Source organism: Homo sapiens, chromosome 14 (assembly GCF_000001405.40).
Source record: "Homo sapiens chromosome 14, GRCh38.p14 Primary Assembly".
Classification (NCBI taxonomy): Eukaryota; Metazoa; Chordata; class Mammalia; order Primates; family Hominidae; genus Homo; species Homo sapiens.
Window position 1 is genome coordinate 98,724,184 of NC_000014.9, and position 17,444 is coordinate 98,741,627.

General features: G+C 44.6%; 2 annotated features.

Annotated features, from left to right (window-relative positions):
* Window positions 12,985-13,484: an enhancer, noted in NCBI's record as "H3K4me1 hESC enhancer chr14:99203505-99204004 (GRCh37/hg19 assembly coordinates)". NCBI's record gives its function as "activates a minimal SCP1, AML or CMV promoter by ChIP-STARR-seq in naive H9 embryonic stem cells {active_cell/tissue: H9 hESC(naive)}" and the evidence as "EXISTENCE:reporter gene assay evidence [ECO:0000049][PMID:30033119]".
* Window positions 16,279-16,779: an enhancer, noted in NCBI's record as "H3K4me1 hESC enhancer chr14:99206799-99207299 (GRCh37/hg19 assembly coordinates)". NCBI's record gives its function as "activates a minimal SCP1, AML or CMV promoter by ChIP-STARR-seq in primed H9 embryonic stem cells {active_cell/tissue: H9 hESC(primed)}" and the evidence as "EXISTENCE:reporter gene assay evidence [ECO:0000049][PMID:30033119]".

Below are 17,444 nucleotides of genomic sequence, written 5' to 3' on the forward strand. Positions count from 1 at the left end.
TTTTTAGGTTCAGGAGGTTGTACTTGTGCAAGTTTGTTACATAGCTAAATTGTGTGTCACTGGGGTTTGGTATATACATGATTTTGTCACCAGCCCAAGAAGAAACATGTCCTTTCTCAAGAATACAGCCCTATTTTTGACATAATCCAGTAAAATAATAATTCCTAAAAAATAAATTTATTTCAACATGAACAAGACAGCATACCTGCAAATTCAATCTGTAAAACTAAAAAACTTAAATTGTAGTTCTCACTGTTTAATTCAAATAGTAATCAGTAAGCATAAGTTTATGCTTAAATTCAAGTTTATTTTGCAGTTGTCCTTAAAATTACAACTGAGTAATTTGTATGTCTTTCTATTTTTTCAGTTTATTTGAACCAATAAAGTAATTTCATCTCTTTCAAAAAAATAAATAAATGAACTTGGATACCTTGTATAGATTCTGTTCCTATTAGTAAATGTGGGGCCTTTCCCCCTGATCGCCTGCCTGAGAACTCAGAGTTGCAATGACATAAAAGCAATTTGCTTGAGGATTACAAAGGAAGGGACCAAAATCTATCGTCTGAGTGCGTGTGTGGGGCTCACTTGATAAATAGCACCATCTTCTTCAACTTGTAGATGTTACAGCTCTGATAAGTTTGTTCGGGAGAGGAATTTGGAAACAGGCTGGCGTTGAAACGCAGGGAAAATGCAGAGGGAGAGAGACAGGACTGCTCATCACCCAGAAAGTCTGCATACCCAGGCTCTGCCATTACCCATTAACAGGAGACGGGCGTAATTACACAGCAGCCTGGGAGAGGTCTCTGACTGAAACCCACAAATAAAACTCTCTGGTTCCTGGTGAAGCTGTCTCGATCCCTTTCCAGAGAAGGCTATGCATCTGAGTAACCTTTTAATGCGCCTCTCTTCCTCTTGCTGATACACTGGATAATTATTTATTTTGTTGTCTAATTAGTTAATTAGGCTGGCGTTGTGTTTTAAGTCGAAAATCCTGTTGTTTAGTTACTAGAAAATGGCTTTTTGTCTGTTTGGGGTATTTTGCAGGGTAATGGGGACTTATTAATTGAGTGTCTGGCTCTGGGTGAAGCTGCTCAGGGACACAGTGTGGAATTTCTGGGAGTAAATTACGCATTAGCTGCGGAAGGCTGTGTTCAAAACAAGAGCACCTGGGTGCAGGCAAAGTGCTGGTGGACAGTTTCAGTTGTCATTTCATTTCCTCATGTGTATGTGGCAATTTACAGTTTGCAAAGCCCGTTCACTTAAAATAGCTCATTTAGTCCTAAGTAAAGAGCCTTTGGAATGCATTTTATTACTTCTAATTTACAGATGGGGCAGCTGAGGGTCTAGACAGTCTGCGGCTGGCTCACGGGCCTCGCCGTCCTGCTAGGTAAGCTGTCTGTTAAATTGGGCAGTAAAGAGGAAAACAAAATAGGGTGAGCCCTGGACTAGAAGGTCCTAGGTTTGAATTCAAGTCCCTCCACTTTTATTTTAACCAACAGTCAGGATGCCACTAGCCAGTCGTCTGTCTAGACCCAGATGCTGTGCATGGATATCACGGGACCCCTTGCTGCCCGGGAGGACTGGGCTGACTGGCATCCCTGGGAACTTTAGCAAACCCCTGGCAAACGGGAGAAATTCCATTTACCTTGAAAGACTCTTCCCAGGTTGAGAGACAGCATCTGTCAAACACCGCAGGTGGCGTCTGGAACCTAGTAGGTGCTTAAGGATGAGAGCTGTTCTTGTTTTGACTGCAGGTCCATCGCTCACTTCATTAAAACACAGGCATAGGCTCAACTCCCTGCATGAACTAGGTTTTTGTCAGGGCTCCTCTGCAGCCTTTGGGTCAGCCTCCTGCTGTGGTTCCACATGCTTTGCTCTCTGCGCTCCTTCGTCGCATCCTTCCCACTGGGCTCTAGTGGTTCTCACATGCTCCCTTCCAAAACCAACTTCTTTCTTCTACTGGTAACTTGGTCTCTCATGGCAGTACCTGCACTAAGTGCCAAGCAATTCACCTTCCGGCTTTCATAGCATTCCATCTTATTTTCACACAATGCAATAAGGTGGCTGTGTTAGTTTTCTAGGACTGTGTGGAACAAAATAACACAGATGCCTGACGAAAGAAACAAGATGTCTTCGACAACAGAAATTGATTTTAGGACGGTTCTGGAGGCTGGAAGTCTGAGGTCATGGTGTTTGTAGGGTGGCTCCTTCTGAGGCTGTGAGTGAGAAGGTGTTTTCCGTCTTCTTCCTGACTTCTGCTGGTTGTCAGTCATCTCTGTCGTTTCTTGACTTGTAGAAGCATCGCTTGATCTCTGCCTTCCTCTTCACATGGCGTTCTCTTTATGTGCATGTGTCCATGTCTAATTTCCCCCTTTTGATTAGGATGCAAGTCCTATTAGATTAGGGCCCACCCTACAGCAGTGTGACTTTGTCTTAACTAAGAACATCTGTAAGGAGCCCATTTTTGAATAAGGTTCCATTTTTGAGGTCCTGGGGCTTAAGTCTTCAACATACGAATTTTGAGGGGACACAATTCAACCCATAACAGTGGGTCTTATTTTTTTTCACTGCTCAGGTAAAGTAAATAAATAAATAAATAAATAAATAAATAAATAAATAAATCTCAGAGAAACAATGCATGCCAGGTCTGGGAACTAGTTTTTGGCATGGCTGTTCTAAACCAAGTCTCCCCAACAATTCCAGGGAGCAGAGTCTTTCTTTTTTGACAAACAGCCTCTCTAAAAACCAGAGAGGCAAGGCGGGCATTGGTCTGGAGCTGAAGGAGACTGGCAGCAGGTTTCCCCAAGGCTGGCATTTGCCATCCCCGCTTTGGAGTATACCTATGAATGTTTGAGGCTCTGCTTCAGAAAAGCATTGGATCTGTCTTGACATGGCCGGGAGGCTGGTTTTCCCTCTGGTTTCATCAGGTCTTTGAAGTTCATGGACAAGCTGCTTCCCAGGAGCCCAGGCCCTCTCTGCCTCAGGTGTGTGTTCACGTGGCATCTGGGCCTTCTGGGCTCTCACCACACCTTACATTTGATCTTCCTGAAATATGGCCCACGTTGGCGCATCCTGGGGCCCTGCTCAGGCTATCCCTGAGCCTGCCGACTGCTCTGTCTTCCAGAGTGAGCTAAACACAGTCTCTTCTCCTTCGCAGGCTCCAACAACTACTCCCGCAGGCAGCGTGAATGCTTCCTTCAGCTTTCCTTTCTGCTAAAAGGCTACTTTATATCACCACCTCCATGGATTGCCATAGAATTATTTTGGCTTCTCTTCTTGCATCCACCCTTAGACTACGTCCTGCTTATAGAAATACATTGACTTTGAGTTTATGTCCCCTCTGGTAGGTTCATCTTTGTCTTCCCAGCACCAGGCATAGGTAGACTTTGCAAATAACAGGGGCAGAACAAATGACATTCAAGAATGGTTGTGTCTATACCTGGGCACTGATCTTCAATATGGATACTGAAAAAAAAGTTTCTGCTTCAGAGAGGTGTTATCGAAACCATTAGAGAGAGAATTCAAACTCAAGTCTTAGGAAGGACAGTTGAAAGAAGGACCAAATTTCAGCCTAATAAGCTGCTCAAAGGGCCTAAGATCACAGGCTTCTGATTGAAAAGGCTGTGCTAGGTCAGACAGAGTGAATGCAACCTACCAGTTACTCTATCCTGCCAAGAGGATTCATACACAGAACTTAAGTGAGTCAGGTTTTAGTTCAACATGCAGGAGAAATTCCTCATGGAGCTGTCAAAAAATAAAGTAATAAAACAATAAAATGAAACGAGAAGGCCATGTTTCCCCAGTCTAGAATGAGTTCTCTAAATCTAGGGCAGAAGTTCTCAACTGGGGCAATTTTGACATCCTCATCCCCCCACAACCAGGGGATTGTTGCCAATGTCTGGAGCCTTCTTGAATTGAAACACTGTTGGATGGGGGGCTGCTAATGGCTTCCAGTGGCGGATGCCAAAAATGCTGCTCAAAAGCCTACAGTACACAGGACAGCCCACAAGAAAGGATTGTCGGGCCCCAAATTTCTATAGTGCTGAAATTGAGAAACCCTGAACCAGAGGTATTTCATCCCAAAGCGGACCATGTATTGGTAATGTAGCATGAGTGTGAGAGTTTATCATGCCTAAGACTCCCCAGGTAAGCTGGTTAAATGTCCATACTCTTGGGTTCCAGCTCCTAGGGATGTTATTTCAGTGGATCTGGAGTAGGCTTGGGAGCCGGCTTTTCTGTTAACAAGAACCCTGGCGACCCTAAGTAGGAATTTGGGGCCCCCACTCTGAGAAATATTTTGCCAGATGACCTTTGAGGTCCCTCCAACCCTGTAATCTCCTGACTTCAAGAGAGAAGCAGCAGAAAAGTTAAAGGCATTTATCTGATTCCCACCTTCAGAAAATACTGGTTGAAGGGCTCAATTAATTAGGACTTTTAAAAAACTTGGAGATCTATTTTTTAATAAGAAAATGAACATAAGTGCAAAGCATCATGACTACTCATTATTTAATTTAACGATTTGTGAAGATTCTGTTGCCATGGTGACTGAGCACTATTTATAAAAATTAAGAACATAAATTATAAATAATAATATTATTACAAGCAGAAGGGACTCGAACCTCTCAATCAGAGGGAGTAATTTCCAGATGGAAAACAAAACAAAACAAAAAACAACAAAAAAAACAACATTGTTTGCATCACATATGGGGAAGGGTGCTGGCGGATTTGTATTTCCACAGTGTTCTAGAGGGAGAAATCAGGTCAAGATGATGATTTCATGTCATTTGCATGACAGTCCATGTCTTTGTATTCTGTGGGGTGTATCAGATCTGCTGTGTGATTCAGGACAGCGAAGGTGGGGCTAATAATGGTGTTAGAGAAAGCACAGAGGCAGGGCTGAGATGTCACCTCTGAGATGTCAGAGTCAGCACTTGGCTACTCCACAACCCCCTCACCATGGTGATACAAACCAGCTTCCCAACTTTTCCTAGACTCAGGAAGAGTCAGGTCAGAATGTCTGCATTTATTGAGAGGCAGGCAAGTCCTCCACTGGATTGCAGTCAGTTTCATTCAATCCACGTGTTCAGGCATTGTGTCCTAGGGTAGCTGAGGCCAAGGGAAGTGGGCCAGCCAAGGAGGTTGAGACAGAGGCCAATGGGGCAACACTGCTGCCCTCAGAGTTTGCAGCCAGACTCTGCTGCCAAGTGATTAAGGGTCTCCGTCATCAAGTGTGGGATCCCCAAATTAGGGAAAACTACTTCCATCTAGGAGATCCAGGAGAGGAACTGAGACCAAGTGTTCAACTAAGATCGTGTGCCTTGTGTTGGTGGTAAAGCAATATCAGAGCCCCGGTATGGTAATTCTCAATCTAATGCCTGTCTATGTGATCAGGCTTCTCCCCTTGTTGTCCTCCCAGGGCCCTCTGCAGACCAGCTACCTCCACCAGTTGCTAATAAGCACTCCTGGCCGGGTGCAGTGGCTCACGCCTGTAATCCCAGCACTTTAGGAGGCCGAGGCGGGCGGATCACAAGGTCAGGAGATTGAGACCATCCTGGCTAACATGGTGAAACCCTATCTCTACTAAACATACAAAAAATTAGCCAAGTGTGGTGGCAGACACCTGTAGTCCCAGCTACTCGCGAGGCTGAGGCAGGAGAATGGCATGAACCCGGGAGGCGGAGCTTGCGGTGAGCCGAGATGGCGCCACTGCACTCCAGCCTGGGCGACAGAGTGAGACTCCGTCTCAAAAAAAAAAAATAAAAAAAAATAAGCACTCCTGCCAGGGTCCAGGTGCTGTTTTGACAATCATCAGTGTGTTCTGGCTAGAAACAGGCTGGATTGCCCTAAGAGATTGCTCTGGTGGGGCACCATACAATGCCAAATCTAGTTACACCATTTGTTTCCTAACACAGCTGATTGTTGATTACTAACCATGTTTACACTAGGGATTTCCGCATTAAGGCTCTTCTCCTTACCCATTGCGTGTCCAAACTCTGTCCATCCCACAAGTAATAAAGTAAGCCAACACTGACTCCAGAAATCCTTCCCTGATGCCCAAAACCACCCCTTGTATTTTGAGGCAACATGTTGGAATCAGAGGTCAGGGTGCATTTCTGACGACAAAGCCATTGTGCAGATAAGAAAGTTCTGGCTTCTGCTCTTGCATTTGAATTGGTTCTGGACTAGCCTTGGCACACCAGCCTGCCTCGGGCAGACATGTGGAAGGCAAGCTCGGACAGCTATCAGCACAAACCCCCAAAGAGTGGACCCCAATATAATCCTCTTGTCCACTGAATTACTTCAAATTAAGGTGCTTTGAAGGATTCAGGGTTAACCAAAACATACTCCAGGCACTGATAGCAAATGGAATGTTTACAGAATATAATTGCCTTTCCTAGACACGGCAAAGGGAATTAGGTCTCCACAGAGCCAGTGCTAGGATGAATACTTGTACACAGATGGGAAGCATAAGACGAGGCCTAGCAAAGCAAGTGGGTATATATTAAGGGGGAAAAAAGTGCTTGAGCAATTGAATTCATCCCCTTTGACTTCACTCCTAAAATGTTTATTTTATTTCTTAAAAAGGTAAGTTAGTTAAGCAGTGAAAATGGGATATGCACTGTCCAATTAAAAAGTTAACAAACATTTTTTGGCATAGGAGAGGAGTTGTTCCCACCATAGTGACTCAAGGGAAAGAGATGGGGAAGGAGAAATAGCCTTTTCTCCCAAAGGTCATCTGGCCACAGAAGCCAGAGACGTACTGACTGTCCTGGTGTGGGTGCCAGGCATCGGAGCTGACGAGCAGAGCATTAAGGGCATGTGTGCATGCAGCCAGCTTCCTTCTTGCTCTTTGGGTTGTAGAGGTCATAAGTGATACTGCTTTGGATCCAGGTAATCTCTTTAAGGCTTTGATGGTTATTCTCCCTCATGTCTCGCTACAAAACTTTTTTTGAGGAGTAGGAGAAAAATGGAGGTTATTTATACCAACTTATAAATGAGGACCTTGACCTCCAGAGAGGTCAGAATTACCTAGAAAGCTGTCTATCGGATTGTGTCCAGCGTGACCTAACACCTCAGATTAACCATCCTTTTCTCACCATCAGATCTGCCTTTATTCTCAGAGTGGGGGAGCTTTCAGCCAAGCCAAGGCCATGAGCCTATCACTGTCTCCTGCTTTGCCACCTGCCTCCAAACCTGCTGTATCGATCTCCTCACCTCTAGCCTAATCGATTGCCTGGCGACGTTCTCCCACTCCTTTCCAAGGCTGACGAAAAACACAGCCCTCTCTGCCTGCACACATCTTGGGCTTCCAGGGGCTGCATTCTGCATTCGCCCCTGAAAACATGTCTTTCTGTCTTCTCTCTGGAGGAAACCCCAAGCCAAGTCTTGCTCTAATGACTCTACCTGCATCTCCACTGGATTTGACCATGAGATACAACAACCAGGACATTTGTTCCTGGTCTTCTTGAACCTGTATGAGGAAAACAGCTTCCTAAGGATCTCCAGGCCAATGTGAGCCCTGGTGACTCAGTGTCTACCCTGGGAAATTCAAGCAAAATAGTTCTCCTACATTTCCTTGCTCTGTTCTCATCTACCTGAGTTATCTATGACTAAGGATCAGACACATTTTATGATGTTGATTATTTCTTCCAAATGAGAGTAGGTAGAGGAAAAAAGAAAAGTTAAGGAATTTGACATTTGACTCATTGTACGGATGGATTGTATGGCAGGCAGTAACACCCCACTTAAAGGACAACCCACAGGCCTGATAGCTGTGCAGCCATCTGACCGCAAGGACTCTATGGAGAATCATGTGGATTTCCTTTGCAGATTTGGCCTGAGTCGGTTTCCTCCACAGGGCTTTACCAACAGTCATTGAACCTGCCACAACCTGAACCCTTGTCTGTTCAGATCTGGGTTGGGTGAACAGGGAGAGATTTGTTTTTATTTTTCCTCAAGGGAAAAGGAGGGGCACGGGGAGGGAAAGAGGAGGATGGGTTTGTTGGCTTGTTTGAGTCCCATAAATACTAATTCATCAAAGGTTAGAAAATAATTCGTTTTCCATGGAGATACTGCAGGCTTCTTGCCCAGTGTTCAGATAAACGTTTATTTAGGCAGATAGTTTATGAATTATACAGTGCTTTTTAAAAATGGGGTGATGGGGAAAAAATATAACATCCTGAAGTGCTTCCTTTGGTTCCATCAGAACCAAATGAAGAATTCCTCTGAAAGAGACAGGTATTCCTGCGGTCGAGCTGCCCCCACCTCCACAGCCACTCTTGGCCACCCATGGCCTGCACAGCTAAGGTCAAGGACTCTTGGACTCACAAAATAGCAGGGCTGAAATGGGCTGTTTGAAGAGCTGTGGACCTTCCTCCTAGGAAAATAAGTATATGCTTACACATCCAACAAGTTTTCCATAATTCCCAATGTGCACAGGCTACTAGAAGCCCTCCAGGAACATCCTAAGAGTCCTTGCACTCCAGTTAAAGGGTCCTGCTTCAGCTCAAATGCCTTATTTGATAGATGTGGGGATCAGGAGCTAAGCCCAGAAAGAGGCAATTCAAATTGTAAGTCCACGGGCAGCCACATCGGATGTAGGATGGAGCCTTTCTTATTCCTGATCCTCTTCCACCAAGAAAACAAAGAAAATCCAAATCCGCAGGTGGAGGTCTAGCTGGTGGAGTCGGGGGTGGGGGGCAAAGTGAGGCCTGAAACAGAGTCACCCAGGTGTTGGTAATTGAGAATCTGGAGGGACTCAGTGCTTGTGTTGAGTCTAGAGACACCTTTGCATCCTCAGTGCACAATGCAACACCTGCTGTTATCATTTGGGGAATATTAGTTCAATTAACTCAATAACGTAAGCTAATTTCTGTTCCATGACAGAAACTAAGGACACAAACATGAATAAGAAACAGTCTAGTAAAGAAGTCAGATAAAAAGAAAGGAAAAAAAACTAAATAAATTAGATCTTTATAGTTTGTTATGAAAGAGGTTTAATAGAAGACATGGCAGTAAAGAGGAAGAAACTATTATTTCTGCTGAAGGTGACAAAAAGAAAAGCCTCATTTAGGAAATAAGATTTCACCCAGGTCTTGAAATACAAGTAAAAGAAAGGTCAACATATTGATTAGGATCCATAACCAATTTAAATAATGAGAAGAAACGAAGAAAAATAAACAGAAGGGAGGAAGAAAAGAAGAGAAGGAAATAAGAAGAGAAAGGGAGGTTAGGAGGAAGTACCCAGATAGGAAGATAGAAATTAGTCCAGGTGCTTCAATTGGAGGGAGTCAGATATCGGGAATTGGTTACACAGGGCCACGGAATTTCTGAGGAGTCAAATAAGAGAATAGTGAGAGAATATAGGAATTAGTAACAGCTGGAAGCCAATACCACCAAGAAAGGAGATGGTGTTATCAGAACCCAGGAGCAGAGGCCATCTGGTGGGAGCTAGAGCCACAGGAGACACTTCCCAGTAGGAGCTGGAAACACAGAGGGACATGACATTGGAGAGCAGGGAAAGCACACAGGCTTTTCCTTCCCCTACCCTCTGACCTTCTGGCAGTGTCTCCCAATAGTCAGCCCCACTCGGAAGCTGGAGGAGAGTCGGGCTGGGTAAATGCAATGCCTCATGTTGTAGAGGATGATGCCAAGACTCAGAGCCATTAAGCCACCTGCCAAAGGTCATGAACACAGCTCGTCCTATGATGGTGCACACAGGACACAAGCAGGCCTCTCTTCCCCAGAGACTTTGCTCTTAACCTTTTCACAACACCGCCTCCCAATCTTTAGCCTTCACTAAATATTTTGCTCATTTAACTTCCAAAAAATGCTTGCTATTTCTATCTTTCAAATTAGATTTATTTCTCAAACTTAACTTACCAGGGTCTTTGTTCTAATCCCAGATTGTATCAACTGGCAATTACTTGCTTTCAGGAGGTACAGCAAAATTTAATCTTTTGATAAAAACATTTAAAACAACTATTATTTGTGATGCTTTTTTCAGATAACTGAGTGAAAATCAGTTTTATCTTAAGTAACAGTTCTTATCGTATTATGAGAATTGTATTTCTGGCACTAAAAGCAAAGCTCTTATTAGACCTCAGGATTAGTGATCTTTGGGAAACATTTAAGGATCATGAGCCCAGATTGCAAACCTAGGACCTCATGCTAATCTGAGATCCTTTCTATTGACAAGAGTTTAGTCATCGCCAGAACCCGAAATCCAGACCGTTCCAAGCCCCTTTGGCAAAATAGGTGCCTCTGTTACAGGTAATTTGTGCTTTAAGGTTTCATCTTGGTCATTACTGCTGCTGCAGCTGATTTAAATATTTTAATGAATGATGTTATTGTCTCTGTGCCTGGGGGTCTTTTCAGCAGAGGTCGCAATTTGAAGAAGGAAAAAAATACAGAAAAATAGCTCTAAATAAGTCAGTGATGATGGATGACTTGTTGTTGGGTAGCAAAACCTAGGCTAGAATGTCACCACGCACGAGGCTCACTTGCTAGGAAGGGATGCCCCAGTCTTGGAGGGGAGGGGCACTGAGGCACAGAAGTGAGTCATTGGAGGAACTAGGGCCATCTTCCAAGAGCATCTTCACCAGATTGAGCCAAAACTAAGGGCATGGGGCAGGTAAAGTGTTAAGAATAAGCACAGGGGTATAGCATCATGTGTAAAGTTACTATCAACATGTGGCTTCAGGGGCAGGTAAAATGTTAAGAATAAGCACAGGGGTATAGCATCATGTGTAAAGTTACTATCAACATGTGGCTTCAGGGGCAGGAGAAAATGATCACAGTGTTGATAGTTAGATCAAATAGCTTGGGAGGGTTTGTCTATGATTTCACTCGAAGAGAATGTGTCCCAAGGTGTGCATGACTTGGGCATTGTGGCTTCTTTTACTAAATGGGTCCCAGTTCCAACACATGTGACCATCTTACCAAGGAGGATGTGATTCTGGTGCTTATCGATGGGCATGTCTCAAGCAATGTGGATCCAAAACCATGGCCTAGTTCTGCCTCTGATCTTCTACCAAAGAAACAATAGAATGTTCTACCACTGGAGAAAACTAGAAGGGACAGGGTGAGAGATGACTTATCAGCCTCAATATGGTGGCCTCCAAAGGGATTTCAAGATGTCATTGCCTTGTTCAACCTTCACTTTCCGTGATGGCTTTGGACCCCACCCCTGTAAGTGGTATGCATGATGGCCAACATTGACAGGGATCACCATGGTCACTGTGGTCATTTGTTCACTTAGTTATGCATTCAGCAAGTGTTTATAGAGCATCGTCTCTGTTGCAGGCAGTGACCAGGAGATGCTGAGATGCAGTGAAGATTGGACAGTGAGGGGCTTTGTCTGCTTAGCACTTGCATTCTGATGAGGGAGACGGACACTAAACCAGAACACAAATCAATAAGTATTGTAATTCCAGGTAGAGATCAGAGTCATGGAGAATGAGGAAGTGCCTTAAGATAATAGGGTAGGGGTGTAGTTTTGGATATTAGGGACAGGGGGGCCAATGAGGGTAAGCAGGCACCCAGATGATGTGAAGAGGGAAGTCATGCACAGATCCAAGGAAAGAGAACTCCAGAAAAAGGAACATCAGAAGGAAGGAGGTGGTCACATTTGAGGAGTAACTCACAGGACTCCTCATGCTCGGTGTGATCCTCCCAGAGAAACAACGGGGTGGCAGGGAGGTGTGATTAACCCCATTTTATAGATCCAGAACCCGGGACTCATGAAGTCCCTGCCCAGGGTGTGGCCAAGCCTAGCAGACAAGGCAGATGTGGATGTGGCCAGGGAAGGCATTTCTGGGTAGAACCCAGGGATAGAGCTGATAAGAATGCAATTGAACAGAGGCGAGGCTAGAGAACTAGAATCCATAGTCAGCCAAGGGTCAGGCTATGGGCATCAGCACAGATACTAAGACCCCAGGTTGAAGGCACTTATCAAATATCAGTCCGTGCCAGCGAGTCTGTGTGTGGCAACGTAGATTCTAGAGTCAAGCGTGTGCAAAAGCACAAGGATAAAGTGCAAAGATCTTTTCAAGAGCTTCTAGGAACCTGGCTTTCTGAGATTTTTATCTTGCTTACTTCTAAATCTATGTGCAACAGCTTATGGTTAGATGCACGTGCAAAGAAATTGTTAAAATTGTGCTTTAAAAGAATAATTAGAGGTCATCTGGAGTGAGGAAAAAGAGAAATCCATTGAGGCTCTTGTTTAAAATGGCTGCCACAGTTGAACCTTGGGCAGAGTCCATGGCAGCCCAGGCCAGGGTTGTCTTGTGGAATTGCTGGATGGGAGAAAAGAATGTTTCCTGGGAGATAATCGTCCAGCTCTAAGTTTATTTTTTGGATCCTCACATAAAAGATTCCTTTTTTGTGAGACAGCATTTGTATGGCAAAACCTAGGTCAGTTTCTACTGGGGAGATATGACAGATACTGTGTGCAGTTGTCACCTGTCAGTTTGGGTAATTCCAGGGTGTGGGTAGGATGCCGGCCAGCTTCTGAGCCCCACCTGTGTCAGAATGCTGCCTTTTTGTTAGCCTTCAATTCTCCCCTAAACAACTCCCAGAGCACAGCCAGACAGGGTGGCTGCTCCCCACTGCCATGGAGCCCTTGGGCTTGCTGTGGCCAGTGTAGACAGGGAGAGCTCAGGAGCAGACAAAAGAAGCACCAGCTGCCACCCACACCCTTCACATTGCCACAGAAATTCCCTGCCTTGAGGATCTGGTCTTGAACAAAGCAAGCAGTGCGAGCCCATCGTAATTAAAGTTTTCAAGATTTCTGCTTCAGTTGTTTTACTCAAAAAGCATAATCTCTTGGAGGTTAAGATGATGAAACCTGGTATTTACAGAAGCTAAATGGCCTCAATCCTGGGCCTTAGTGGGGCAGCCTGGGAGGAGGCAGGCAGGGAAGACGGCCAGAGAAGCACAGGAAATGCTTTCTGCTCTGAGAAGGTTCTGGCCGGCGGCCTTCCGCAGCTCACACGAGCCTTGGGATTTCCGTTCCACCACTCTCTGCCCCAGCCACGGTGCCGCCATATTCCCTCCCAGGCTAATCCAGAACGTGATCCAGTGAAAAGGTCTGGAAATCCCACCTCCCTTTTCAAGCATCCAAGGTGCTCAAGGAACTCTGTTCTTCTCAGGGCCTCTCACCAGGAATGTGTGTCTGCATTCACATAGTCACTTCGTGTCTAGGGAAAACCTGTATCATCGGTCCACTGATATGCATATGTTCCCATCAGAACAAAGAGGGAGAGTCAGGAAAATCACACACCTATAAAAAACATTGTGATTAGATGCAGGGGTACTCAGACCAACACAATTCGGTTTAATAAATATCGGTTGGATTGAGTCTCATCTATGCAGAAAACTCTGCACCGGACATTATGCTAAGCTCCAGTAACAAGAACAACTGACAACTTCTGGGAAGTTACAATTTAATAAACCTTTCATGACCATTGTCTCATTGATTTATGCTACAAGCCTGTGAGGTCTTAATTATCAATGTCATTTGACAGAGGCCAATGAGGATCAGAGACATCAAGCCACTTTCTCAGGGTGACACAGTTACTAAAGCAGTAGAAATTGGGCTTGAACCTAAGGTTTCAGACTTTCAATTCTGTGTTCCTTCCTCTACATTGGACTTCTGGTACAGATACAGGTACTTTAGAGAATTGAAAGATGAATACCTTGTTTAAATAGAATGGAAATAATTTGTATTGACTCAGACCAGTATGTACTGGTCTCCTACAGTGCATTTGCCACCAGGGTTGTAACTCTTAACATCGGTAAACAAGATGACCAGTGCTGACAAAATCACAAACACACACATGCCCACAGTGATTTATCTATGCTAAACACTTTACACACATCATTTATTTAACCTATACATAATCCTATGAGGCAAATACTTACATCATCCCCACTTTACAGAAGCTAAAAGAAATGAAGTAACTTATCTGGTGGTCACATAACCTGGGAGGGCCCAAGAGCTGGAACCCAGATTGATCTCTCTTCAGAGTTCTAGCCATGATGCCACTCATATCTACAGCACCTGCCAAAGTGTGGTAACAAGGTAGCTTAAAACAACAGAAACTTACTCTCACAGTTCTGAAGGCTAAAAGTCAGATGTGAAGGTGTTGGCAGGGATATGCTCCCTTCAAGCTTCTAGGGGAGGATCCTTCCTGGCCTCCTCAAGCTCTGGTAGCTTCAGCCATTCCTTGGCTTGTGGCCACATCACTTCAGTCTCTGAACTGCCTTCTTTTTGTGTCTCTGTCTCTGTCTCTCCTCTTTTTATGAGGGCACCGATCAGATTAAATTAGGATCTCCTTTAATTCAGTATGATTCCTCTTGATTATATCTGTAAAGACCCTAATTTCAAACGAGAGCACCTTCACAGGTACCAGGGGTTAGGATTTTAAGGTATCTTTATTGGGGACACAACTCAACCTATACAATATCCGTTGTCATCACCCCTACCCCACCCTCATGCCAGGCTCCCTCTCTCTCATTTAAAATGAAAGTCATCTTCCAGAAGTTGACAATTATGAAGGGTTCAAAGGTTATAGAAGGGCAAGTTGATCCTCAGGGAAAGGAAGTGATCCCAGAATGTCAGAGATCCAATCTGAACCAGTTCCCTTACTCCAATCCACCAATTCTCATGCTTTTGTTTATGTTTATTTTTATTTTTATTTTTTGAGACAGAGTCTCACCGTGTTGCCCAGGCTGGAGTGCGATGGTGTGACCTCGGCTCACTGCAACCTGTGCCTCCTGGGTTCAAGCAAGTCTCCCACTTCAGCCTCCTAAGTAGCTGGGATTATAGGCATCTGCCATCATTCCCAGCTAATTTTTGTATTCTTTATAGAGATGGTGGACCATGTTGGTCAGGCTGGTCGCAAACTCCTAACCTCAGGTGATCCACCCGCCTCAGCCTCCCAAAGTGCTGAGATTACAGCCATGAGCCACAGCACCCAGCCCTTTTTCTTTTTTTTTTTTCAGAACTTGATGAGCTTCCCCCTCTAAACAGGATGTACTCATGAGAAATGGAATTGGCCATGGCTAAGTCTTTGCTAAACCAGACTTCTGAAGCTTCCATCTTCAAGAAATTGAGGAAATATTTATTGTGTGAGCTGGCGAGAAAAGAAAAATCTACATTTACTTTGCACACATAACTTCCATGGTCCTAAAAATGATTAAGTCTTGCATCCAACATCTTTTGTGATTAACAGAGTTGTCTTTCACTGTAAATGTTGCTGTTTGTCTTGCCTGAGATTATATTAGTTAAAGTCATCATATGGAAAGCCAATATCCTGATATAAATGTTGAGGAAAGTGTTTGCTTTATCCCCTTCATGGCTATTTAAGTATCTAGCAGTGATAAGGTTATATGAAATCTCAGAGTGTGTACGGCCCAAATGATATTAATATTCAGAAGTAACTCTGAGCATCCCAAGTCGCTCAAAATCTACACAGCCCAGGCAGACGCCTGGATTTCCAAAATAAATTACTTATAAAACGTAGTGTCTCGATGAAATATTCAAGTTTAAACCCATTTTGTATTCCCAATTTTAAATACAGACACAAAGTTATGCCGCAGCTTCTGCGGCCATATCTGAAAGTGAGCAGGCGCATTGAATCAATCAGCTGGAGTCGGCAGAGAGAAAAATAATCCCTCCCCGTCAAAGTGAACTGCAGAAATCCATAAATAAAAACCAGAGCTACAGAAAATCTCAGTTATACAGGGAAGTTTGTACATGTGCATTCTAAGACTTAACTTCCTTTCCCCCCAGCTTGGAGATTTAAGGGTCCTGTCTTAATAGGCAAATATGTATGAACTTGACTTTCACCACAAACCTGTCTACAATTGCACCTGCATGTCTGTAGTTTTTAACCAGAGTTACATTTGGAAGCAGAAAATTGTTTGCACAGCGAGAGAAGAGGAATTTAAAAATGTTGTTGTCTCAGGATTAGCTGTGTACCTGAGCAGGAAGAAGAGGAGGAAAAAGCCAATTTCCATAAGCTCTCCTCCCTCTCTCTCAGGCAGCCTCCCATCTCTCTATGCCTGGTGACCTGTTTTGCCACTGGGGAAATGGGAGATAAGAGAGTTTTGCAGCCTCACGCCTGTAATCCCAGCACTTTGGGAGGCCAAGGCAGGCGGATCACGAGGTCAGGAGATCGAGATCATCCTGGCTAACACAGTGAAACCCCATCTCTACTAAAAATACAAAAAAATTAGCTGGGCGTGGTGGCAGGTGCCTGCAGTCCCAGCTACTCGGGGGCTGAGGCAGGAGAATGGCGTGAACCCGGGAGGCGGAGCTTGCAGTAAGCCGAGATCACGCCACTGCACTCCAGCCTGGGCAACAGAACAAGACTCCGCCTCAAAAAAAAGACTCTTGCCCAAGATCCTAGGGTGCCAGAGCTTCCCCAGTCCATTTTCAGGTCATTTTCTTTCTGGAAGATTCCATTTCTCCAAATCTGCATGGCTCCCTCCCAGGGGAATCTCATTCTCTTTAGCACAGATAACTCCTGGACATAAGCTATAGGCTGCTGTACCCTTGATTGTCCAAGGCCAACTTTCCACTTCTAGCAGAATGAACCCAGCTTATCATGCAGCATCTGAGCCTCAGTTTTCCCACTTTAAAATGAGCTTTGCAAACCACACCCTCAGACTGCACCAAAGCAATATGCAAATATAGACACTGATTTTTATAAATTGCTATAATTGGAATCACTTTCATATCACCAAAACAACTTATGAAACAATCTGCTTCATATTTTCTCTTGATTTGCTAATCAACATCAACGGCTATGGCCTCCCCACATATTAGGCACTGTTTTCCCCACTATTTTTTTCTGGTTTTTTTCCCCTTTGATTTTCTCTTTCTTGTTTTCTGTTTACTTCTTTGTTCTTCTGTTTCCATGTTGAAATCAATGGTCTTCTAATTTCCAGCTCAAGTCTAGAAGCCCCAGGGCTTTCTGTTCGCTGACATTCTGTTCCATGCGGCAGTTTAGGCAGGAGGAGCAAGATCCCAGGCTCAGACTAGGAAAGAAGCATTGGATGCCTTAAGGAGGGAGAGGAGAGAGCGGCGGTAGGAGGGGAAGGAAAAGGAAGGGCTGGCCAAGCACCTCGTTACGCATCCCCCAACTCCCCTCTCTCTCAGTTCCCAACCCTCCAGACATTCCAAGGCAAGCAGGTCACAGGCCATCTTTCTGGACAGCTTGTGCTGCAGATACTGCCGAGGTCAAGGGTATGCCCACCAGTACACCGTCCCCAGCTCAATCCCAATCCAGTTCTCACCCACCCCCAGGAAAGCCCCTCCCTTTTTTAAACTCTATTTACAATTTCTTCAACCAAGACCCAGCTTTTCAGACTACAGTATCGAAAAGGAGATGTCTGGCTGGTGGCAGTGGCTCACACCTGTAATCGCAACATTTTGG